We start from the raw sequence: 24964 nt of genomic DNA, 5'->3' as shown, positions 1-24964 counted from the left end.
TGAATTAATTACTGACTTATGAGGGTTAATGGAAACCAGGCAGCCTTTTTGAGTCTCACCCAAAGAAGCATCTGTTTCTCATCTTTACCATGTAGGGAGGGCCGGGGGTAGTGAAGCACCCTCTAGCCATCTTGCCTCTGCCCCATAGCTCCCAGTAAGTGGTTCAGGGACAAAGTGTGTGATCTGATCATGTCAACCAAGAACTCCACGGATTGTAAAGGGAAAAACTCAGTTCAAACTTCCTTAAGCAAAAAAGGCAACTTACTGGCTCAAAGAATGTGAAGGCTGAGCTACAAATTTAACTGCAGATAGCTCTGGATCCTGTTTCTCAATCATCATCAGGGATTTCCCCACCTCTCATTGTATTCCTTGACTCTGTATGTTTCTACTTTGCTTTGTTTCTTGGCCTTTTCCCCTTCTAGCTACTGGCAGGTTCAAGTCCACCTCTGAACCTGCCACTTCAGAGGGACTATTTTCCTTATTGAGACACAGTGGAAAGTCCCAGGGAGTGGCAGATGTAGGCCAAGTTTGGGTCATGTACACATCCCTGAAGCACTGTGCCCAGGGCAATGATGTTTCATGATTGGCTGAGCCTCAGTAAGGGACCACCTCTGTGCCTGGAGTGCAGGGCACTGTGATTAGCAATGTCCCAAGGACCACAGTGGAGGGAGAGAGGGGCTCCCTAAGGACTCAGGAGATGGGGATTGGATGTTGGGCAAACAAACAAACAAACAAACAAACAAAAAAAACTAGAGTGGCCAGCACAGCCTCCTAGCCTGTCCTGGAAGTGTTTGCTAATGCTGTCTCTTCTTTGCCCCCATACCACGGGGTTAGGATGCCCATGATGCCACTGAGTACTTCCTTCTGGCCCTGGCAGCAGCGGTCCTGCTGGGTGATGAGGAGCTTCAGGACACCATTAGGAGCAGGCTGGACAACATCTGCCAGAGCCCCCTGTGGCACAGCAGGCCCTCCGGGTGCTCCTCAGAGAGGGCGCGGTGGCTGAGTGGTGGTGGCCTGGCCCTCTGAGGAAAGCTGTCCTGTCTCTGGACATTTGGCATGGCCAGACTCTGACCCCACTGCCCTAGGCTCTTAAATACTCATTGGGAGGGTCCGAGTCCTTACCTGGCCTAGCCCCCTCATTTCACAAGAAGAAGAATGAAGTCCAGGAGGAGAAGGGCTCATTGCAGGCCACAGAAAGATTTGATGGTGCAGCGATGAGAATTCCTGGTTCCAGGCTTTGCATCTGGAGCCTTTACCGGTTGACTGTTGCCTTCCACACAAACAGCCTCTGAAAAGCACTTTCTCCATACATAATTCTGGAGAAGATGAGGGATCTTGCCCTCCAGGAGCCTTCCTTCCTCCCCCAATGAGGAAATCAGTCACTGCACTGGTGCAAAGGCAAGCAGATTGGAATTTGTGCTCTTCACCGATTTTCTCAGGGAAAGACCCCTTCCCCTTGCCAGCAGAGGAACCTGTAGTTTTTTCCATTTCTTTCTTCAGAACCAAAGTATGTATCACTCCTCATGCTCACAGGGATTGACAGGAGAGAATTCACCAGGATCTTAGCTCAAAAGACACAGCCTCAGAATGGCCAGATGGATTGCACGAAACCTGACTTGGATTCACCATCTTCCTCCTGCCATAAGGCTGTGCTCCCACATAACCTCCCAGAAGCTCCAGGGAAGCTTTCCAAGAGCAAAGGCTTGGAAATTGAATGTTAAGAAAATTATGACATAAATTACATGTAAATAGTGTATATGATTAAATATTGTCCAGTTACATTTACACACACATTTTGTCTCATCCACAATGGGGGCAGATGAGATGGAGGACTTGATGGATGGGAGAGAATACCAATACATGTCTTTTTTTTTTTTTTTTTTTTTTGAGACAGTTTCTCCTCTGTTGCCCAGGCTGGAGTTCAGTGGTACAGTCAGGGCTTCCTGCGACCTCAGACTCCGGGGCTCAAGTGATCCTCCAGTGTCAACCTCCTGAGTAGCTGGAACTACAGGCATGTGCCATACCCAACTACAAGGCATCTTATTGATTTCAGGGCAGCTGCTTTACAAAGCATCTCTATTAATAACATCACTGCATAGCACACTGAGTGGCCTAAAACACTTATAATCTCATGGTTTCTGAAGGGCAGGAATCCAAGCATGACTTAGCTGAGCCCACCAGCTTAGGGTGGTTCACAGGCTGCAATCAGCTGGGGCTGCAGTTATCTCAACTTCAACTAGAGAAGGATGGGCTTCCAAGCTCACCCACACAGCTGTTGTTAGGAGTCAGTTTTTTGCTAGCTGTTGGCCAGAGGCTTCCTGCAGCCACTTGCCACGTGGGCCTCTCCACAGGGCAGTCACAACATGGCACCATGCTTCACTAGAGGGAGCAAACAAGAGGAGCAAGAACCAGAGTGAGCAGGAGAAAAGGGAGTGACTCTTTCTATAACCTGATCACAGAAGTGACATCTCCTTAGTCTTGCCTATTCAATTCATAATAAATGAGTCACTAGGTCTAGCTCCCACAAGAGGGGAGTGTTTACCAACAGCTTGAATACCAGATGGTGAGGAATCATTGGGGATCATTTCAGAAGTGACCTACCACAGTATCTGAGTTCTTTGATAATGAAATTGGGAATTCTCTAATTTCAGCAAACTGAAAATATGGTCCACTAACCAGCAGCATCAGCATCACCTGTGAGATTGTTTGAAATGAAAATCTGTGGCCCCACCTATGATCTCTGAATCAGAATCTCTGGATCCCAGAACGCTGACTCGTCCAAGCTTTCCTGGTGATTTTAATGCACCCTAAAGTATGGGAAGCACCACTGCAGGGCAAGAGCCCTCAGATAGTGTGCATAACTATTACCTGGTGAGGTTGTGGAACATGAACTTCTTGGTTTCTATCTCTAATAATTCTGATTCAGTAGATCTGGGATGTATCCCAGGAACATGCATTTTTAGAAAGCAACTCAAGCAAGCCTGATGCAGGTGGTTCACCCTTGCTCCTTTTCTGTGAACCACAAGGATACCAGCCATAATTCCCTGCATCTGATGCCCATCAGCTTAGCTTTTATTATCAGACCATCTGCCCTTAATTTCTAGCTTCTTGGGCTGACCAGATGATTGGTTGTATGAAAGGGTGAGATGGGAGTGGTGAGTTGAGCCGCCATTGCATCTTCTAGTCATCAAGGTTGTCTACTAATTGGCACACATTTTCTCTTAGAGATGTGGTTGGTTGTCAAAAGGCTGTCTACTCTAGAGAGTATTCTCCAGGAAGGAGAAGCTTCCAGTTGTCTAATTAGTAAAGTTATCTAATCTACTACCATGGAGAATAGATGTGGTTTTGCCCCCACCACAAGCTGTAAAAGCCCCAAGCTGGGAGGGACGTTGCGGTTGAGGCTATTCAGTCTAATCTCCCGTGCATAGTCCTTTCAACAACATTCCTGGGAGACAGTCAGGGGCACACACATTCCAGAACAGTTACATATCGTGTATTTGAAGAAGGCTCACACAGCCCTGGAAACCATGCCACTGGCCATTCCCCATCTGACTCAGGTTACAGATCCCCTCCCTTTTCCCACTGACCACTCACTCTCCTCTGGCCAGATTTGTTTCTGTTTCTCTGAAAGAGCAGTTCCCACAACTGCATGAGGCTTTTGATATTGGCCGGTGGGTGAAGAGTACAGAGGGATGTTACTATACTTAATTTGATTCTTCCTCTCCCCAGCAGCCACATCTGTCCTTGGCTTCCATTGAGCTTTATAATCAGTTGAAACTTCTGTGTCTTCTGACTTGAACTTCTGTTTGGACAGATCTTTCTCAATTGCTGCAAATATGCACATGCATTTGCATATGCATACACATACACACACATACGTGAAGAGCGTTGTTTCTATCCATGTTACATCTCCTTGGAAATTTTAGCTAAAATTTCCCAATTCTGTGCACTTTGATTTACCTATAAATCTGATGAATTTACCCATAACCAGGTCAGTTATAAAAATGTTTAGCATGTTTCCAAAGACAAGGGTAAGACTATTTTTTTAAAATAAGAAAAACATTGTGCTATATAATTGCAATTACTACATTCTATATGTAAACCGCTTGCTAAAACTCTTTTAAAAAGTGTTTAAAATTTTCATTTTTGAAATGTGGGCCAGCTATTCCCTTTGGAAACATGTTGATGCTGTCTTTTTTTCATGATCCACAGAGAGTAAAGTGGTGATTGGATTTGGTCTCTACTTAAACATTTAAAAAAATAAGTGTATCATAGCCAAACATGATCTAGTTACCCTCTTTATTCTAATTGTTCCCTCAAATCTTATATGGGCTGTGTGACTGCTGGCTCCTTACATCTAATCTAAATAAAGAACAAGAAGGGCATTGCAACATTGTGGAAAACCCTGTAACATGTTTTCTCAGCTTTCAGGTATACTAGTTCCCTGTCCAACAGTATTAACATTCTGAAATCCAATATTGCTTTTGTCCTTTTCTTATTTGCTTTTCCATTATTTTAAGATGCCTTTATATTGTGCATGTGTATATATATGTATGTGTGTGTGTGTGTGTTCATTTTCTTCCTCTTTGTAAATATAATGCACCTCATTTGGCAGAAGTTTATTTGGGGAAGGGAATATGCAGGAATGGAGGGTGTTAGGATGAGGGATCAGGAAGCCTATCACTAAAGGGAACCTGTATTTTGGTCTTGATTTTGATATTAAATTGCAGTGCGACCTTGGGCAAGTCACTTAACCTCTACACATCTCAGATATTTGTCCTCTGATAAAAGAACCTCACCTCTGGGTTTTTCAGCAGTGCTATTTTTATACTGTATGAATAGGATGAGAAATAGTATTGGAGAGATGAAATAATATATTTTTATAGCTCAATTATATTATCTTCTTTTTACAGGTGAGTAAACTGAGGAACAGAAGGGTAACTTTCTCCCAGACACATTGGTAGTTAGTGGCAAAGACAGTGGTACTTGAGGCGGGGGTCTCATGACTCAAGGACTTAGTTGCACAAATGACAGGATTTCTGCTGTTCAGGGCTTCCTTCACAGTTGTGTGTGTATATGTACACGTGTGTGTATGTATGCATGCATTTATCACGATATGCACCAAAGAGCCTTTACAAAACATTTTCTAAATTGATTTACTTCTTTTACTCATATTAACTTATTTTTATAAGGGATGACTAGTCTATATAGAAGAAAAACTTGTATTGTTTTCCATAAACAGAATTATGTAAATAATGGCAAATACAATGAAAATAAAATAATGCATTAACTTCAAGCTAGGTCCTGTTGCTCATTGCAAGCACCCAGCCTAGGCCTTATCTGGCATTGTTTGAAAACAGAGAGATTAATAAGTGGCAGAGAGTGTAGATGACAGACTAGCAACAACCACTTTTTCCTTGCACACTCAGAGAAATGGAGTAAGCAGGGAAGAGGACTGAGCTCCTTCTGAGGAGGGTCAGTGTCATTCAATGCCAGGTTTGGGCACACATTTCAGGGAAGTGGGGATTCAGCTGGGTGACAGGAAAGGGGCAAATGATATATTATGTAATATGATTCAGTATCAGAAGCATTGTGATTGGTGTTAGTTACAGGATGTTACAGGCACTGCGGGGAAGGGATTTTACCCAGACAGGGTTACGGGCATCAGGAAGGGCTTTCTGGAGGACGTGATATCCAAACTGAGTTCTGAAAGGGACACTTACTTAATTCTAACTGCAGACCAGCAGGTTGGTATTGACAGACAGTGCATGTGTCAAGCAAAGGTCCAGAGGGTGGACAGGGGGTGATGTTTTCTGAGAACAGGTCACTCTGAGTGCAGTGAGGCTGGAGCAGATTCAGGGAAGCAAAGAGGGTTTGGATTCTACCTGGAGGTTGAGGGGAAGGTATAGAAGGATTATAAGCAGTTGAAAGAAACATGGTCAGATTTGTGCTTTGGAAAGATGATTCTAGAAGCAGCATGAGACTAGATTAGGGCAGCAGTGGAGAAGGTAGAAAACACATTAGGACTTGGCGATTGCAACACAACACTCCAGCCTTGATTCAGATATCAACAGTTTTCCCCACTAATGTTCTTCTGATCCCACATTGGATTTAGTTGCCATATTTCCCTATGCATCTCTGGTCTATGACGGTTTCTGCCTTTCCTTGTTTTTCATGACCTTGTCAGTTTTGGTCTCTTTTCCTCTTTTAATTGCTCCCATTGAGATGTGTGGACAAGCGGCAAAGAAGGAAGAAATTCAAGGGAATGGGCTCTGCACTCACTCAGGTGGCAGCTCAGGTGGGGGCAATGTAATGTGTTTTGGAGTTGGGCATACTTAGGTTAGAATCTGTTTCTTACTAGCTGTGTGACCTTCTGCAAATTAATTAACTTCCCTGAGCCCAGGGCTGTCAGAATTATATCAGACTTACTTATGTCATAGACAAGGAAATGGCTAAAAAGGAAATCCATCTTTGGAGGCATGTAAGCCTTGACATTGAGAAGTGCAGCCAAACCTGGAGGTGTGGCCAGGCACCCTGGTCCTGCATTCAGGGACACTTGGGTCTGAAGCTCTTTCTCCTTTTCATCACTGAGTGACCTGAGCAACTTACTTTACCTCTTTAAGCTTCAATTATTCCTCTGCTCAGACTTTTAATTGAGACGAGATGTATGGATGGCTTGGTATGAATGTCAATTGGTGGTAGCTGTCACAATGAAGCAGAACTGAGTAGATTCTTAATAAGCACATCTATTCCTGGGTCCCACACCGTTAAGCGGGAGGGTGTGTATGTTAGGGGTGCTCTTTGCTACTGGGCCTCTCACTTGGCGGTCTTCCCTCTTCGGTGGGACAGCATATATTTCCTGATATGTACCCCCTCACTCTCCCAACTCTGTCTGATTATTCCAGAACTCAGGGGACTTGAGGATGGAGGCTGCTGGAAGTGCTGGCTCTGGGAATGTGCACTTCGTTCACCCTCCTCTAAGGGGTGTCTTCTCCCCAGAGAAGCAGAGACAAGTGACTGCTTAGGGGGTGGGGATTCTCCCCAGCTGCCATGGTGCAGGATCAAGAATAACTTGCGTGGCCAGGACTGCACAGTGGGGCTGCTTGGCTTGGCTTCCCAGTACAGACTGCGAGGCAGGTGAGAGGGAAGGATGCTGTGCTTTCAAAACGATTTCAAAGGTGAGAACCCAGCTGCCACTTCTAGTGCTGCCTTTGACTCCTTATCCAGGGCATCACACTAGCTTGAGGGATGAGGCTCTTTGAGATGAACTTCCAGACAGGGTAGGTGAGAGGATGGTTGAAGTCACATGGCTAATGAGAAGACAGGCTAATCCATTGCTGTCCTTTTCTGTGAGAAATCCAAGAGTTCCAGTAGGGGGCAGTGATGTCTTCCTAAATAGTGTATCATTGGTAAAGAACGTATTTAATATTAATAGTTCTGAATCAGACTAGGGTAGTGGCTGTCAAATCCTTTTTTGTTGTTATGTTGTTGTTGTTGTGGCCCACAGTAAGAAATGCATTTTATGGTTTATCCTCGTGTGCATATGTTTGTGCATATGCAACAACATAGAGAAATGCACTCATACATTCTGTTTTGTTCTATTCATTTTTAAAAACATTCTATTCTAGTTAAAAAATATCAAATTTATGACTCACCAAATGAATTTCTCACTCATTAACCTGTAGTTTGAAAAGTGCTGACCTGGAGGGTGGTCTCTAAAAAAGTGCAGGAGGGCTCCAGCCTTTGTTCTTTTCTATGTATTATTTGATGGATATCTTACTTCTTTTTGAGACCAGAGAGTGTGTACATCTCAAAATAAAAATAACAGTTGAGGTTAATGTGTTTTATGCATTAAGTCTCATGCAAAACCTTTGTGATGACTCTCATGTAATCACACAACATTTTGGTGTAGTTACTATTATTTTTATCTCCACTGAGGTTTAGAGAATTGATGTGGCTTGTCTAAGTCCACAGTTAGTGGTGATCGAGGTGAAATTTGAAGTCATGTCCTCTGATGCTGGAGCTAGGAAATGAAACCATTATATTATATTGTGTTTCTGTCAGGTGACACATCTCTGAGAGAAATGCTATCACTAATATGATCATGAATAGAAGCATTAGATTAAAACTTGTTTCATCAGCCTGAAATACTGGGCTGAAATCAACACAATCATTCTGGTGTAATTGAATCAATCAAAATTGGTTACTTTAGAACAGGATTGGAGAGAACTGACTTTCCAGGAGGTCTTGAAAAAGAAATACTGGTGTTATTGTTGACCACAGTCAGGTAACTTAGCCTAGAAAAAAAGAGAGACTGCATTTCCCAAATGGAAAATAGAAGGAGGAACAGAAAGCTTTGACCTATAGTAGTGATTGGTCAAAACAAATTATAAGATCAGTAAGTTATGTTTTGAAGAAGATTCCAGGTTGGGAGTGAGGTGAATGAGGGAAACTTGCAAGAGACTCCAGAGCCAATCGTAGAAGACTATGGACATCTGAGGAAGGGAAGCAGCCAGGTGGAGTTTCGTGGGTCTCACCCATCATAGTACCCGTAGCTCCAATGGTGGTAGCAGAAGGAAGATCATGAACATGAGAGAATAGCCTACTTTTGACATCATGGAAAAAGCTATTAGGAACATCCTTCTCATCCAAATATGTGTTGCAAAACAAATAGCCTGGGAAGAGCCCATGTTCATGTACAGATGCTTTGTTTCTTATGCATAAATGTTGGTAGTAGCACTTTTTTTACTCACTTAGTATTCAGGAATGCTTAATTATCTACTTCCCTAACCTTCCATTTTACTGTATTTTTATTTAGGGTCACACATTTTACTGTTATCTATGAAAAGGATTTTGAAAATAGATACCTCGCTTCTGTCTTTTATTTTAACCTTCCAAATCTAGCGGACCATAGTTAAACATGATCTGTATGACTCTCAGCTACTTGATCTTCCTTGCACGGGCCAAATATGTGTGAAGGTGACTTTTTTGGTTATTGAACTTTCTTGCACATAGAGAACTTCTGATGTTTGTTCATCTGGGGATATATCTGACATCTACTTCATAGAGACATTCATAGGAATGCCCCTGAATTCTTTGAACATTGTACCAGACAGCAAGCAGTGACAATGGCTACATCTGCTTTCCTCCTCAGGGGAGCTGCCACGGGCTAGGCTGAAATAACAGCTGCGTGGTAATCCTGGTGACCAAAAAGCTACTTATTCATAAAACAAAACAAAACTAACTTTTGTCTGTTCTAGAACATGTAGCTTTGGGGCTGTAGTGGGTGGAGGGAAAGGATAGCAAACAGAAAGATTACTTGGAGGATTTTCATTTCCGGTTGTTTTACAGTCCTAAGAGCTTATATAAACTGATATTCTGATCCTCTTCCAAGTCCTGTGGCATTCTTTTCTTTCTTTCCAAGTTGTATAAAGTCCATCTGTCTGTTTCTCTCTCTCTCTCTCTTTCTCTCTTATTTAGGCAGGGTCTCACTCTGTTGCCCAGGCTGGAGTGCAGTGGGGTGGCCATGGTTCACTGCTACCTCGACCTTCTAGACTCAGGTGCTTGGGTGATCCTCCCACTTCAGCCTCCCGAGTAGCTGGGACTACAGGCATGTACAACCACTCCCAGCTAATTTTTTTTTTTTTTGGTAGTTTTTGTAGAGATGGGTTTCCACCATGTTGCCCATGCTAGTCTCAAACTCCTGGGCTCAAATCATCCACCCACCTCAGCCTTCCAAAGTGCTGGGGTAACAGGTGTGAGCCATGGCACCCGGCCAGTTGGTCTCTTTTTTCTTTTTCCTCATGTCCTTAGCATCTCCCTTTTGCTTGTGCTCATTTGTCCCTGTACTTTTCCTTCAAAGCACTTATCATAGTTTAAAAGTGTACTTTATGTGAGTTTTTTTATTTTAATAATCCATGTGCACCACCTAGATTAGAAGTTCCATGAAAACAGGAATCTTATTTGGGTCACTCAGCTCTGTATTTCTGGAGCCCAGCCCAGTGTCTGATGCATGGCAGGCTCTCAATAAAGATTTGTTGAATGGGTGAATAAAAAAATAAAGGAATGAAATGTTGGACTTGGGTTTTGACCTTCAGGGAGAAAGTTTTAAAACTATAATATAACTACTTATTGCTCATGAGTGATTGAGAAATCAGGTGATAGGGCTGCTCACATATATAGCAGGTATTCAGCAAAAGTTTATTGAGAATAATAAGCATAATTTTTGTTTGTTTAGAATAAGTTGCTATAGCTGTGGTAGGTCTTTTCTTAATTTTCAAACAGATAGTAGTTTGACCAGGGATAATCATGGTCTTTTACTGAAGCTGTAATGATGGTTGTGCTAAGTAATTTACCCACAGTATAGGATTTGATCCTCCAAATGATCCTCCAAAGAAGGTGACCTTATCTCCCCTTTTCAGGTGATAGAATCAAGGTTTAAAGTATTTCAGATGTTTGCAGAGATTCAAAATCACTTTTGTCTGACCTGGAAAATCAGTGCTTTATATAATTATGTAATTCTGATACACGTTTTCTCTTTCAGAACTTAGGATCTTCAAGATAAATATTTCTCTTTTGAACATTTGAATGTTTCCCTTTGTCTTAAGGAGGAGGGATGATAGAAAATCTAGGGAGCAGGGACCTTGGCTTATATAAGCCTTATTGCACCAAATACCACAGGAAATCCCTTCAGTGATGAATGTTCTATGGAATAAAGATCCAGGGGATAGGCAGTACCTTTAAGGTATTTTGAGGCCTGAGTGGTCCAGAGTATTGTTTCATAATCCCAAGTCTCTTTCCTTGGGAAATCATAAGTTCATGGTATTGTGGGATGTGGATAAAAACCTCATCCTTGCCCTTGAGTATCTGTCAGTCTGTTTGGGGGAGATTGGATGCATATATGCAAAGGACTAGGAAGAAAAGTCTGAGTTTAGCTCCTTTGGGACAGAGGATGCAGACGGTTATCCATCTATTCATCCATCTATTCATCCATCTATTCATCCATCCATCCATCCATCCATCCATCCATCCATCCATCCTTCCATCCATCCATTCATTTATCCAACCAGCCAATTAACCAACCAACCAACCAACCAACCAACCAACCAACCAACCAACCAACCAACCAACCAACCATCTAACCACCCAACCACCCACATACCCAACCAATGAAACAACCAACTAACCAATATTCAACACCTCTCATGTGCTAAACTCACAATCCAGTGAGCAAGATAATGACAGTCCCTGTCTTCATAAGTCCTATGGGCTCCAGGGCAAGTCAGAGTCCTCTGATAAACTTACCTATTATTCTTACCATCACAGCTTAGATTTGAGCACTTTTACCTCAAACACTGTACTAAAGGTTATACTCTTATTATATCATTGACTTCTCTTAATTTCTCCTACCTGCAAGAAGTAATTGCATTGTATAGTTATTCACATAACACATGTGAAGAAATGAGTTCAAAGAGGTTAAGAGATTAATCTTACCCAAAGTCCTGTAGATAGAGAGTGGCAGCTTCAGGACACCAGTCCAAGCCTTATCTATATTGCAAGTATTGCATAAAACCTCAGCTGAAATTTTGATAAATTTTATGGAACTTAAGCTAGATAGATCTTGTTCACCTGAACATCCTGTCTGGGATGCATGGTAGTAGACTGAACAGCTCCACTGCTTATGAAATGTGTGACCTCAGGCAAGTTGTTAAGCTCTTGGTGCTTCATGTTTATCATTGGCAAATGGAGATGATAATAGTACTTATCTCATGGGATTGTTGTGTGGATCAAATGTGTGAATATATGTAAAGTGCCTGGCCCATGTTATATAAGTGTTGGCTATTATTGTTATTGTGTTGACAGACATTTCAGAAGAGTACTTGTTTGGGCGAAGAAGTTAATGAACACTTCTTTGTTGAACCTGTGGGGTTAAGGCATGCTTAGAGGAATGTAATCTGGGCTAGATGCTTGGCTATTCAAGTGAGCATGTGACAGTGATGGTCTCAGTCTGCCTCCCTTGTCAGAGCATCATCTGTAAATGATTGCCTCCATCACTTACCAAGCACAGTCACAGGAAGTTGTGACCTCCCTTTATTGGAACTGTCATTTTGAACCTATGTTTAGTCTGGCAGACGTTTTGACCTCCGTGATATATTGCTGAGGGTGTTTTGACTCCATGCTTATAACTACAACATTAAAAACACCAATAATGGCTGAATTTTTATCAAGAAAGTATTTTCTTAATTAATGCTTACTCAATCATTTTTACTCCAAGATAAATGTTCAATACAGAGCAGTTAAACAATTTCTACCTTTTTCCATCTTCTATTTTATCAAAATCATTTTATGGAGATGAATTCTTTTGCATTTGGAATTTTACAATGATGGCTTATAATTTATTGACAATAATTTATTTAGGTCAAATTTTAGCTTCTGCCACTGAATTTTCCATCGTAGTTTTATTTCTACTAAGTCAAATTTTCCTGGTTTAAATTTGATTGATTTGAATTTTATTGGGATAATTTGATTCCCCTGTGAATGTTTGCTCATTAACACATTCTTTGTGTAGGTTAGCTGTTGTCAGTTTTATTTTGAACTGATTATTTCAATCGAAACGGTGAGGGACAAATGCCTAATCACCTTAAGCGTCTATGGAAGCCAGGAGTGAGGCCAGGTAAAGGCAGCCCAGACCAGATCTAAATGAAACGCTGTGGGCTAAGTTTTCATTCACAGAAGATGGGCAGAGTGGCAGATCAGAGGTAACTATCAATGATACAAACTTCAAGGAAATGATGAGATACAGAGGACCAAAGTTAAAGTCAATGATATATGTGAAGCATGATGATTTTCCAAGCCATACCCAAACCCTATGAGCTGTGCATGTTATACCCAGCAGTTTAATCCTGGAAGACTCTTGGTGCATGTTGCAGGGATGAGTTAGCTCAGTGTGATGTAGTTAAAGAGCAGTGGGATTGGGGTCAGGTGATCTGGGGTCTGAACCTAGTTCTGTCACTCCTTGTGTATACTGGGACAAGTCCATCTCCCACCTGAGGTCTCAGTTTTACCAACTGTCAAAAGATTGCCCTAAAAGTTCATAGACCCCTTCGAAAATCTGAAAAAAAAAAAAAAAAAAAAAACCAATGAAATCTCTTCTTGGAATTATGTATACACACCCATACACATACTTTCAAAGGCCTCATGGACCCTTTAATGCACGCCCAAGGATGATGAGTTAAAAACCTCAGTCTCGGTAATCTGTCAGGACCTGTCCAGGGTTGACATGCTAGGGCTTAGGTAGGTGTTATATATGTATCCTCCAGGTGATGCCTGAGAACTGACATACATACTGCTTATGGATAAAAATGGAGACATCCAGAAAAGCAGGATCTGGAACCCTTTGTATGCATTGTTGGTTTCTTAGTGTTTTCATTAATATTATGAATGGTTAAGAGCATAAACCTTGGGATTATGCTACCTGGGTAAAAATCCCCACTGTGTGCATGACCTTGGGCAAGGCACTTAACCATTCTGGGCCTCCATTTCTGCATCTGTAATATGGAAGTATTAATGATATCAACTTCATAGGGCTGTTGGATGAAACAGCTAAATGTTCAATTGTTACCTCTTATTACCTAGTGATTGAATTCATGTTCTGATAATTTTATGTCATACAAAGTGGCAGCTGGTGGGCTTTGGAGACCCTCTAGCTCAGCTCTGTTGTTATTATATGAAAAGTGAACCAGAAAAGGGAAAGCCTTACCCATGGTCACCCAACACATGTTAGGGTTGCTCTCTGACACTCCCCTTAGACACCAGGAAAGTTGAGCCACCATGACATCATCAGCATACCAGCTTCCAGTGCAAGAGGAGGCTCACCTCCATGGATAAAGTCCCATGTGATGATCTGCCATATTTGTAGAGTTCTCTGACACCAGCTGTTTCTGTTGTGAGTATAGAGTGATTCAGGGCAGGTTGGACACCAGTGAGTATAATTTCTACAAAAGCAGTTTGCAAGAGCCTCTCATTCTACCTGGAAATTAGTCACACTGATTCTAATTACAAGGCTTTTGTGACCCCAGCTGACTGGCCACCCCTCCCAGAGCAAGCATTTCAACCACCCAGCTGCAATGTCTGGAGACTACTTGATGTTACTACCACTAAAAGAACTGGAGCTCCTGGGGGAAACCCTTCAGATATAACCACTGTATTATCTGACAGAAAGCAAAAGCTAAGGTGGAAGCCCACTCAAGAAACTTCCAAAGACTCCTGGGTCCTGGGAAATACAGGATGAGCCCATATGGCTAAAGTTAGCTTTGTTGTTGAGGGAACTGTAGATTTAATTGCTGGCTGGATGGTTTGTGTTGCTACTCCCCACAAAGAAATTGACCCTCTTCTTCAGAGCACAGCAAGGGGTACACATTACCCTAGTGAAAGCACCTTCTTTGCCCTGCTGGTTTCAGCTGCAGGAAGTACATTCTTGCAGTATATTCACTCTCACATCCAATGTGGTATATGGGTAAAAGCTTTTGTATAGAGAAGAAAAAGTCCTCTACATATGTTAATTTCTACCCCATGTGTAGTTATTGGTCTTTTGCTGTGAATGTTCCTGGTGTTTTAAAGGGTCATATTAAACGTTTTGGGGCTTCTGAGGGATTGGGGTTTTGAAAGTCCCCTGGAAAGTGTCAACAGATGTTCAACAAGTGATCTAATTCTGGGTTTTGGGAAATGAAGTTTGTGAACTTGGCTGGGACCTCAGGGCTTGGAGTCAGATAGCTTTGGGACCTTGGAGACATGACTTAACCTCTCTGGGTCTCAGTTTTCTCACCTGTCAAATGGGTTATCCCAGAACTTGCCTTATAGAATTGCTGTGAAAATTAAAAGAGATAATGTACTTAGAATACTTAACTCAGGGCCTTGCTTATTGCAAATATTTAATATATAATTGCTATTATATTTTGTATCCTGTATACTCTATAATAAATAACACAGCTAATGTTTACTGAGCATTTATGGTGTATAAAGCATTGGATTAAATTCTTTGAATGCATGATTTCATTTTCTGTGTTCACAACAACCTCAAGGGTGGTATTATTAACATGCCCATTTTATAGGTGAGGAAACAAGGTCTTGGAGAAGTTCAGTAACTTGTTTGAGGTCCAATAGCTTGTGAGTAGCAGGGGCAGAATTTGCATTCAATTGATCTGGTCCAAGGGCCCATGCTGTTCGCCACCAAGCTGCTCTGATCTCCTTTTGCTCCTGACTTGGCTTCATCAGCATGGTTGTCTTTAGGTTAACCTGGTCTTCCCCTCAAATCCTCTCCTGTGAACCACTTGGCAGCACAACATTGTGTGGGTATGTGTGTTTGTTGACAAAGGCCAGCTTGCTTATGATGGGAGGTGTGAACATTTACAGCAAACTAAGGAAACTAAGGCTCAGAGAGGCATATATCTGTACTTCTAAAGAGGAACAGTTTGTCATCTTACTATGAATATATTTTAAATGACCAATGTCCTAGTAGGAGAAAGGAACTGCAAGTGCAAGCAGAGACAGGAATAAATCAGAGAAAGAACAAAACAGAGTAGCCTAGCGCACCCAGAGCATACCATCATGAAACCTACTTTGGGGCTATCTCAGTTTCCCCAGGATGGTTCACCCATGAGAGAAAGCAGGGAAAACTGGCTTAAGGGAGCTATATTTTGAGTGAGAGGAGAGGTTGCTTGGAAATGACTCCTAGAAAAGAAGCAGCCCCCACCCCATCAAACACACACACATACACACAAACATGCACACACTTGTGTATCCCCACACCCCAAGAACTCATTCTTTTCTGTTATGTATCTCATTTTTCCCCAGTGCAGGTGGATTGATTCATAGGGACATTTCCCAAATGTCCTGGTTGCTATATAGTTCTTCTCTCTCCGTTCATTCCAGCTGCTTCTGAATACCAGATTGTTGAAGCTCTTGGGTCCCTGTGACTCACTCTATCCTGGGTCACTCTCCAGATCCCCTTGAATGAGTGGTTCCAGTATTCATGTTCTGGAAGAATGGCATAAGATTTTATCAGACTGTTTTATTATCAGTGCAAACCGGACAATACAGAATTGTACCAACATCTGCAGCAATATACATAGGTGGTCTGAAAATGTCAACACTTTGCAATCCCCAAAACTCACATGTAAGTCCTTCCTTCAGAGTGATTTTCCAAGGTACACAGTTCTGCTGACCAAGGTATAGCTCCTGCCAAAGGATTCAACAACTACAATGTGATTTCTGGATGTGAATGAATTCAGATATTCCTCAGCCATATTTATGCTGGTTAAGGTAGACCTAGGTTCAAATCTTGTCTCAAAGTGCTTAGTATCTGTGTAGCATTAACAAATCACTTTATCTTTCTGAGCTATGGCTCTTTCAACTGTAAAATGGGGATAATAAATACCTATATAGCAAAGTTATTGTAAAATTAATGAATTAATATGTCTAAAGCAGTTAGCATGGTGGCTGGAATGTAATAGGTCGTTAATAGATTATGGCTATTTTTAAAACCCATGACTTGAGCCTGTAATCTTGGAAAAAAGACTCAAAAAGGGAATTCAATGACTCCAAAAGGAACTCAAGGAAATATAAAGAAAATACGTTAAAAAACAATGACAATAGCAAATTCTTCCACAATCCAAGACATTGTTTTGTGTGTGTTGTGTGTGTTATATGAGTGTGTGGTTGGTGGTTGTTTTTTTATTTCCTTCATGTCTGGGCTCAGTAGGGCACAACTAGACCAGATAAGGGAAACATTTTGAGTGAGAGAGAAGGTTGCTTGCAAATGACATCTCAAATCCAAAGAAGAAAGCAAAGTGATAACCCTTAAACATTAAAGTTATGGGGATCGTGTTTTTGAACCATGAGGTGGAACAAGTGACATAACAAACCACCCCAAAAGTTTCTGATTTAAAACAGCTTATCATCATCTGTTGGTCTGATGGATTGACTGGGCTCACCCGGGCAATTCTCGCTTGGGTTCTCTACTGTTGTTGCAGTCCAATAGTGGCCAGAGCTGGAGTCATCAAAGGCTCCTCTGGGCTGGGCATCGAAGATGGCTTCCTCACGGGGCTAACAGTTGATGCTTGCAGTTGGTTGGGAGCTCAGCTGGGGCTGTGATCAACTGGAGCCGTGAGCCATGTCGACTCCATGTGGCTTGGCCGTCTTACAGCATGGTGGCTGGTTCCAAGAGAGTGCATTCCAAGAGCTAGCATTCCAGGAGATTAAACGGGGAGCTGCAAAGCTTCCTATGACCTGGCCTCAGAAGTCACACAGTGTCACATCTGCTATATTTTATTGGTTATACAAAGCCAGCCTAGAGCTGGTATAGGAGGGGATTACTCAATGGCATGAGCACTGGGAAGCCTGGTTCACTTGGGGCTATCTTGGGGACTAGATAGTAAGGCAGCTTTACAAGACCAGATAACATTCCCATCTGGGGTAGGATTTTTGATAATGATTTTCATGTCCATGGGAGAAGGAGTAAAGATGCTTTGTTACCCACTTTTCATAAAATCTAGCTTGTTCTCTTGAATCTTCCACCACTCAACTTCTAGCCTGTGTGCATAGAGTTTTTATTACCCAGTAAGGCCAAAAGAACCCAGCCTTGTCCTTAAGACATGCAGGAAAAATATTAGGTAAGTCACCTTCTCTGTCTCCAAGTGGGCAGATGATATGACTCTCTGTCCTTGGCCAGAGGAGGTGCAACAGCATTCTCGGCACTTCCTTGTGGGTATCTGGAGAAGTGGCCAAAGTGGAGATGGCTCACCTTTAGGTGCACTCACTATGTAAGCTTACTCTGGGCCACAGAGTGGAGATTTTCAGATGAGAAGTTTCATGATCTAAAGAACACACACACACACACACACACACACACACACACACACACACACACAGATTTTGAATGAGGCCTCGAGTGAGGACATGACTTGGTGAGCTTCCCATGCTTGTTAAGTGGTGGGAGAGTGACCACAGCTTTGTTCTTCTCAGTCTTAATCTGATGATCTTCACTGAATCACTCCACCACACTCGTTATAAGGTTTCCCTTTGTTTCTGTAGTCATTCCTGGCACTTAGTTATTTCAGTGTTTATATATAGTGAGACTCTTTGAAAATGCTATAGGTGAGAAACCCAGCCAAATATGTGGAAGTCTTATGGAATATGCCCAAGACTATAGATGTAAAGACCATGCAGGTCTGCTGTGGGATAGAAATGTTAGCTGGAAGCTCAGCCTGATCTCTCATGAATAAGGCCTGGGAGAGTTTCAACACCTTATCTCCTCAAGTTTACTTACATACTCAATAAATAGTTGTTAGATTCCTTCTATGTGCCTGGCACTGCCCCAGGCTGTAGCAATAGATCAATGAAAAAAACTTATAAAGTTCTTGTCCTCTTGGCACTTGCAATCCAATGAGAATATTCCTGAACATTCCCAATGGTGACAGATAGAACCAATCTTTGTTCAGAACAAAGACCATTGGCAAAAATGTGCTTTTTCTCCTCTCCCCACAGAGGGGTTACAGTGGTTAAAATAATTTAAATCAAATTAAATTTAGAAGCATTTGATTTACACATTTCTTCTAAAGTGTGAGACTAATAAGATGATTTTGGAATGGATCTAAAATAAAGAATTTCAGATTAGAGAATTAAGCACAATGAACTACCATGAAATACATTAGCTGGGGAATTAATATTTCATTTTCCAAAAATCATTTTAGAAACAATAGCTCCCTGGCATTGAACTGGAGTCTTTGAAAACTCTGCCTCTCCTTGGAATTCTTGATATGACCTCATATTATTGCATTGTTAAATAATCTCAGCATTTTTTGGGTGTAACTGTTTTAACAAGTTAACACTTGATGCTGTTTATACAACGTGTCCCTTGGAGGAGCAAGACAGAACAGGACTGGGAGATTACAGCATGGGAATGGGATTTAGGCTCGTCACATTTGGTTGACTGAGCAATTCTTATGCTCTGATTTGGCTTATTATGATGCCTACAAGTCACCCTAACAAGTGGCTTAATAATTTGTCAAAAAAGGTATCTGTCATGTACTCAAACCTGTTGTGTATGAATAATCTAATTGAAGTTCACTTTTAAAATGATAATTCAACAAGCATTTATTAAGAACTTACTGCATTCTAAGCAATGTAGTTGATGGAGGTTGCTACCCTGGCAGATCTTAACTCACAAAGGGTCAGAGAAACAGCAGAAAAATGAGTGCTATGATAAAAGTAAGACAAGGAGATGTAATAGGGAGTGAGTGGGGTTACCTTGGCTTTCCAGGGCTTCCGTTTTCTCACTAAGTCTATCATTTAGAGCTGGGACCTAATGGAAGATCTCTAAGGTTCTTTTAGTTCTAACATTTAGTAATCACATGATTTGTGCTATTAGGTTTTTAGAACAGTCACTAGCAATGTCTGTTTTTTAATTAGCACAATATTTAATTGCTTTCTGATTTCAGATACATTTTTTTTCTCTTGTTCTTACAAAAACCCTGCAGAGATGAAGAAGCTGTGGTTTAAGGCAGTTATGTAACATACCCAAGTTCACACGGGCAGTAAAATAGGCTATTAAGCAGGGCCTTAGTGAGTGAAAATTGATTATAATTGGATCAAAACAGCCTTACTTAAAGAAGTTGAACTAATGAGTTCTAATTTCCTTTTAAACACCAAGATTCTGCATTTATGTGTTTTTCAAAAATCACCCTAGAGATGATACTCTGTAAGTCTCATGTCAGAAAAATGATCGAGTGGTATCTATAGGTTACTTTGCTCCCAGCACAGACATGAAGTCTTTTGAGCCCTAATGGAGATATGATAGTGGGCCAAATCTATATAAAAATGACATTCCACACATTGAAAAATAAAAGTGGCTATTGCTGCTGGGAATGCAAAATGAAACAGCTGTTTTGGAAAATGCTTTGATAGTTTCTTATAAATTAAACATACACTTACAAAGTGATCCAGAATTGCTACTCCTAGGTATTTATATCAAAGAAATGAAAACTTATGTATACAAAAGCCTATACACAAATGTTTAGAGTGGATTTATTCATAGTTGCCAGAAATTGGAACAACCCAATGTCTTCAAACTGGGAAATGGATAAACAAACTATGGTGTATTCATACAGTGGAATACTACTCAGTAATAAAAAGAAATGAGCACCCAATACATGCAACAACTTGGAGTTACATCAAATGCATTATGCTAATTAGAGGAAGTCAGACTTAAAATGCTACATACTGTATATAATCCATATGGCATTTTAAAAACTACAGGATCAGCAAACAGATCTGTGCTGTGAGTTGGAGGAAGAATTGATGAAAAAAGACACAAGAAAATTGTTTGAAGTGATGGAGCTGTTCTATATCTTGATTGTAGTAGTGATGGCATTGAATGCATTTGCCAAAACTCATAGAACTCTGTAACTAAAAAATAATGAATTTTATTATATATAAATTATACCTTCATAACAGGGTACCCTCAAATGAGTAGTAATATATTTTTGCGTGTGTTTTGATTTTAAGTGCTTTGAGTGAATAGTTTTTTTTTTTTCCAGAAAAGTAGCTCATTCTTATTCAGTGTTTGTTTTCTGAGGATGTCAAGTGGAGTCAGAACCAATAAAAGTTCTATCAAGAAGAGTCTCAGTTAACCAGATTAGCTTGCCCAGGTTGGTGGAACCATGAAAACCAGATTAAAAATAATGGGAGTAATCTTCCATTGCTTCCATCCCTAGGATTCACTTCCTGTCCTGTTTTATACACTTTGTAAATGGTACCTCTATAACCCATTATGCTTTTTGGCATCATTGCTCACTTTGACTATTTGCAGATTACAAATTATTTGAGGTCAAAGAAGTGAGTGGAGTACATAACCTTCAAGGTGAAGCAGGAAGCAGATGCCTCCTTCTGAGTATAAGTTCTCTTAGGTCAGATACTGGGAACAAATTTGTTTACAGCACCAAGCACAGCTCTTTGAGGGTTGGAATACCCACTAAACATCTAAGCAAATGTGGACATTTACCCTTCAGGGATACATGCTGACAAATTCCTTCCTATATGCCAACCTGAAAGACCAACCTTGGAGATATATGAAGCATTGCCTAGTCCAGAGTGAGGCAGAAGACTGAGTCAGGGGTTTCGACTTAGTCAAGGAATGCTCAATTTTCACCTTTTCCCTCTTCCTGCATACCTTCCTCATGAGTCATGAGCCCAGACAAGGCCCCAGGGTTTTTCCCAATATAGTTCTTCAGGAAGTCACTATAAGTCAAGTGGAGTTGGTATTTATATGGCATTTGTTCCTTTTAAAATGTATTTTTAATTGATAAATAATAATTGTATATATTTATAATGTATAATGAATAAACTGAAAAATTCAATAGAAAGCTTCAACAGTAGGTTCAATTAAGCAGAAGAAAGAATAAGTGAACTCAAAGACAGGACACTTGAAATTATCCAGTCGAAGGAACAAAAAGAAAAAAGAATAAAAGAAGTCTATGGGATCTATGGGAAACCATCAAGAGAACTAATATTTACATAATGCAATTTCAGAAAGAGAAGAGAGAGATAAAGGGACACAAAGCCTATCTAAAGAAATAATAGCTGAAAACGTCCCAAATCTGGGAAGTGATATCAATATTCATGTACAAGAAGTTGTATGCAGGTTCTTTTCACTTTGAGAAACAGAAGGTGAAACTCAAACTGGCTTAAGTAATTTTAAAAAAATGTATTGGTTCAAGTGACTTAAAAACCACACTGGTTCCAGGAGCAGGTTGATAGTACCTCAAAGATGTCACCATCTCTTGGATGTGCTTTCCCTGTTCATTCCTAAGCTTCATGCAGTTTCAGGGTGGTGACCAGAAGTTTACATCTTATCTTCCCTCTCCCCTGTGTTTGACTGGAACAGAAAAAAGAGTGTCTTATTCCCTAGCACTTTGGACAAAAGCTCTGGACATGATGGCCATTTGTGACAGGGAAGTAGAATACCATTATTTGACCAGTCTGGGACATCTGAATTCAGGGCTAGAGAACACAGACAGGGGCTAATGGGGTGCGGGGTAGGGGGAAGGAAACCCCAAAATAGGAAGCTAGATTGCTGTTACTGGAAGGGGAATGTGCACTTCAGCAAGATGAAATCAGTATGCAATTCAGCTCCCACATATGCAGAACTGTAAAAAAGGGAGCTGCATTTGGTTTCTTGGGACCTCCACCTGGATAAACTGAGTTCGGGGGTTCAGCATGCATCTAACAAGATGCTCCTATTCCCAGCAAATTTTTTCTTGGTGCTCCTTGCTATCTCCTTTTGAGCTATTTTCATCCACTCAGAACCTGGTCTGTTCCCTCCATTACCATATCTTAGGCCACAGGTGTATTCATGACACCCAGGTGCCCCTCTTCAGAGAGATGGAGAGAGTGGGAGCTTTTCAAAAGGAATTTGTACTAAAAATGGTAAGTGGCAATTTGAAAAACAAACAAACGAATGAAGCAAAGTAACAAAAAATACTGTACTCAAAATGCTTTTAACAGGACATGTTTTATACAGCATGTGCTTTAAGCCAAATTAAGTAAAGCCTAGCCACAGATTAGATCCCAGAAGGTGAGACTAGCAGGAGGTATTTAAAACACCTGCTAGTTCTCCCTCTTTATCCCATAGATGGGACACTGAGGCCCAGGAAAGGGAACACCTTGACATCAGCATCAATGTCAATGCCAATGTCAATGTCAGAGCTGGGCCTGAGACCAACATCTTCTACTTGCAGACATGATGCCTCTGCTGCGTCAGTCTCCTAAAGTTATCTTTCACAAGGTCCACTGGTGTTAAAACAGCTCATTTTTTATTTTAAAAGTATTTTTAAGTAATCTATATGAACAAATAATGAATTCTCATGATTCCCAAATGAAAAATTAAACAAGGAATAGCATGCCCCCATTTCCCTACCATAGGCCACATTTAAAAAATTAGTTTCTTGTGTATTCTTCCAGGGATATTTTGTGTGTATAAAAACAATTCAGTGACATACTCTCCCGCCATTTTAAATATTATAGCATACTATACACTCTGCTTTGTACCTTGCTTATTTCAAAATGTAAATCTTGGAAAATCTTTCATATGACTCTACAAACAGTATCCTCATTCATTTTTACAGCTGTAAAGTATCTCCTTGCATGATGGGAATAACAGTTTATTTAGCTGGTTCTCTAGTGGTGTCAATTTGGTTATTTTTGATACTGTGCTACTGTAAACAATGCTGCAATCAATAACTTTATACACATGTCATTTCATGTGATTGTGATTATATATGTAGGAAAAATTCCACAAAAGTGAAATAGCAGAATACTAAGGGCATATGCATTTGTTGTTTTGATAGACGCTGAATGGCCCTTCATGATGCTCTTGTCAATGTATTCTCCTACAATGCGGAGAGTGCCTTTTTCCTCAGGCCCTCCCCAACACAGCCAGTTACTAATGTTGTCTTTGAGTGTTTAATAGTTGTGAGGTGGTATCTCAATGTTTTAAAATTTAAACTACAGAAATAAAAAAAAAATACTGGAATCCTGTTTCCAGAGACATTTTTATTATCACTCAAATGATAGTAATATCCTCGCACATATTTCCACCTTTTTTTCACCCCAAATTCATTATTGACATCATTCAGCACATACAATATCTATTTCCTGAGCATTTATCAGATTTTAGGCACTGGAGATAAAGCCCTACCCAAGAAAGACACACTCCCTGTCTTGTGGGGCTTATAGTCTAGTTGGAAGGCATTTAAAAATAGACTATTAGCTTAAAGAGTGTTAAGTGCTTTGAAGAGTACCACAGGGTGATGTAGCAGAGGGAAATCCTAAAGTGAGGTGGGAGCACGTTAGCCTGTCCCTCTGCTTCCTCCCCAAGATCGGTGATCTTTAGGAGCAAGTAGGATAAAGTGCAAAGTGAGCAGAGTGCTCTCACAAGCTTACTATTAATAGTAGTGATTTTTATTTATTATTTTTGGCCTGAACTGACCTGTAGCTTTGGTATTATGTAGACGGAACTTTAAGATCACCATTAAGACCGCCCCGGAGATGCTCAGCTACAGGCAGAAAAAGCCATTCCAGTTCCCCTAATGGGCTGGTGCTAAAACATAAATGTCAGTCTGGTTCCTGAGGACATGAGCCAGAACTCAGCTAAGAGTAAATTATCTTCTCCCTTTCACTAAGCACTCAATAAACAACTCATTGTCTAGTGCAGGCTTAGAAAATCCTATTTGGATTTGGAACGTAGTCCAGTTTGCATCGCATGGGTTAGGTAGTGGGAAAAACACGGCTCAAGGGATCAGGTAAAGGGAGCTGTGTTTCTGCTTCTTCCCTCTTGCTGTCCGGGAGACTTTGGACAAGCAGTAGTGGGAGACTTAGAGACTTCTGGGCAGGAAGCTTGATTAGAAGCATAAATCAGCTTGCTGCAGTTCCAACTCTGACCTGATTTGTGGGTCATGGTGCCCCTCTCAGAAACCAACCGGGTCCCCACCATGGGCTTTGGTTCTGATTTAAGTCTTGTCTCTTTGTATTTAGGTCTCAGCTTCTTTGAGACTGGAATCTTGCTTACCTGTTACCCCTATCTCTCCCTTAGGCTCTGGTCCTATTGCTCTCAGAACTCCCAGAACCTTCATTTTTCTTGCCGAGACCTCTGACCACTGTCAGTGACCAGGCATTCAGTTCCATGTGCTCAAGACCCAGGGAGTGCCCGTCTCCGTCCCATCTTGCTGGATCTCTGTTGGATTGCTCTCTCTCTCTCTCTCTGGCTGGCACTCCATCTGTGTATTTCCTTGGACACCATCTTCTGTTTCCCAGAAAGTCATTCCCCCATGCACATCTGGCTAGCTTCTCCTGACCCCATCTTGGAGGCACTGAGAGTTTCTACCTTCCTCAACTCTGGCCCATACCATGT

At 41.2% G+C, this 24964-nt stretch overlaps 1 protein-coding gene across 1 annotated transcript in view, besides 1 other annotated feature; it reads left to right on the top strand.

Moving 5' to 3' along the window:
* The window catches only part of SH3TC2 (SH3 domain and tetratricopeptide repeats 2), an 80913-nt gene extending 57326 nt beyond the window's left edge, over nt 1-23587 (top strand). The window contains exon 17 of the mRNA NM_024577.4: nt 835-23587. Coding sequence (NP_078853.2) covers nt 835-1026 — 192 coding nt within the window. The 3' untranslated portion in view covers nt 1027-23587. The remainder of the gene's footprint in view (nt 1-834) is intronic.
* Nucleotides 20561-21760: an enhancer, noted in NCBI's record as "P300/CBP strongly-dependent group 1 enhancer chr5:148363540-148364739 (GRCh37/hg19 assembly coordinates)". NCBI's record gives its function as "activates an origin of replication core promoter dependent on BRD2, BRD4, P300/CBP, MED14 and CDK7 cofactors, with strong dependence on P300/CBP, by STARR-seq in HCT116 cells {active_cell/tissue: HCT116}" and the evidence as "EXISTENCE:reporter gene assay evidence [ECO:0000049][PMID:35650434]".

Source organism: Homo sapiens, chromosome 5 (assembly GCF_000001405.40).
Source record: "Homo sapiens chromosome 5, GRCh38.p14 Primary Assembly".
In the NCBI taxonomy this organism is placed as follows: Eukaryota; Metazoa; Chordata; class Mammalia; order Primates; family Hominidae; genus Homo; species Homo sapiens.
Note: the sequence above shows the minus strand (reverse complement) of the source record. Positions and strands in the feature narration are given on the sequence as shown.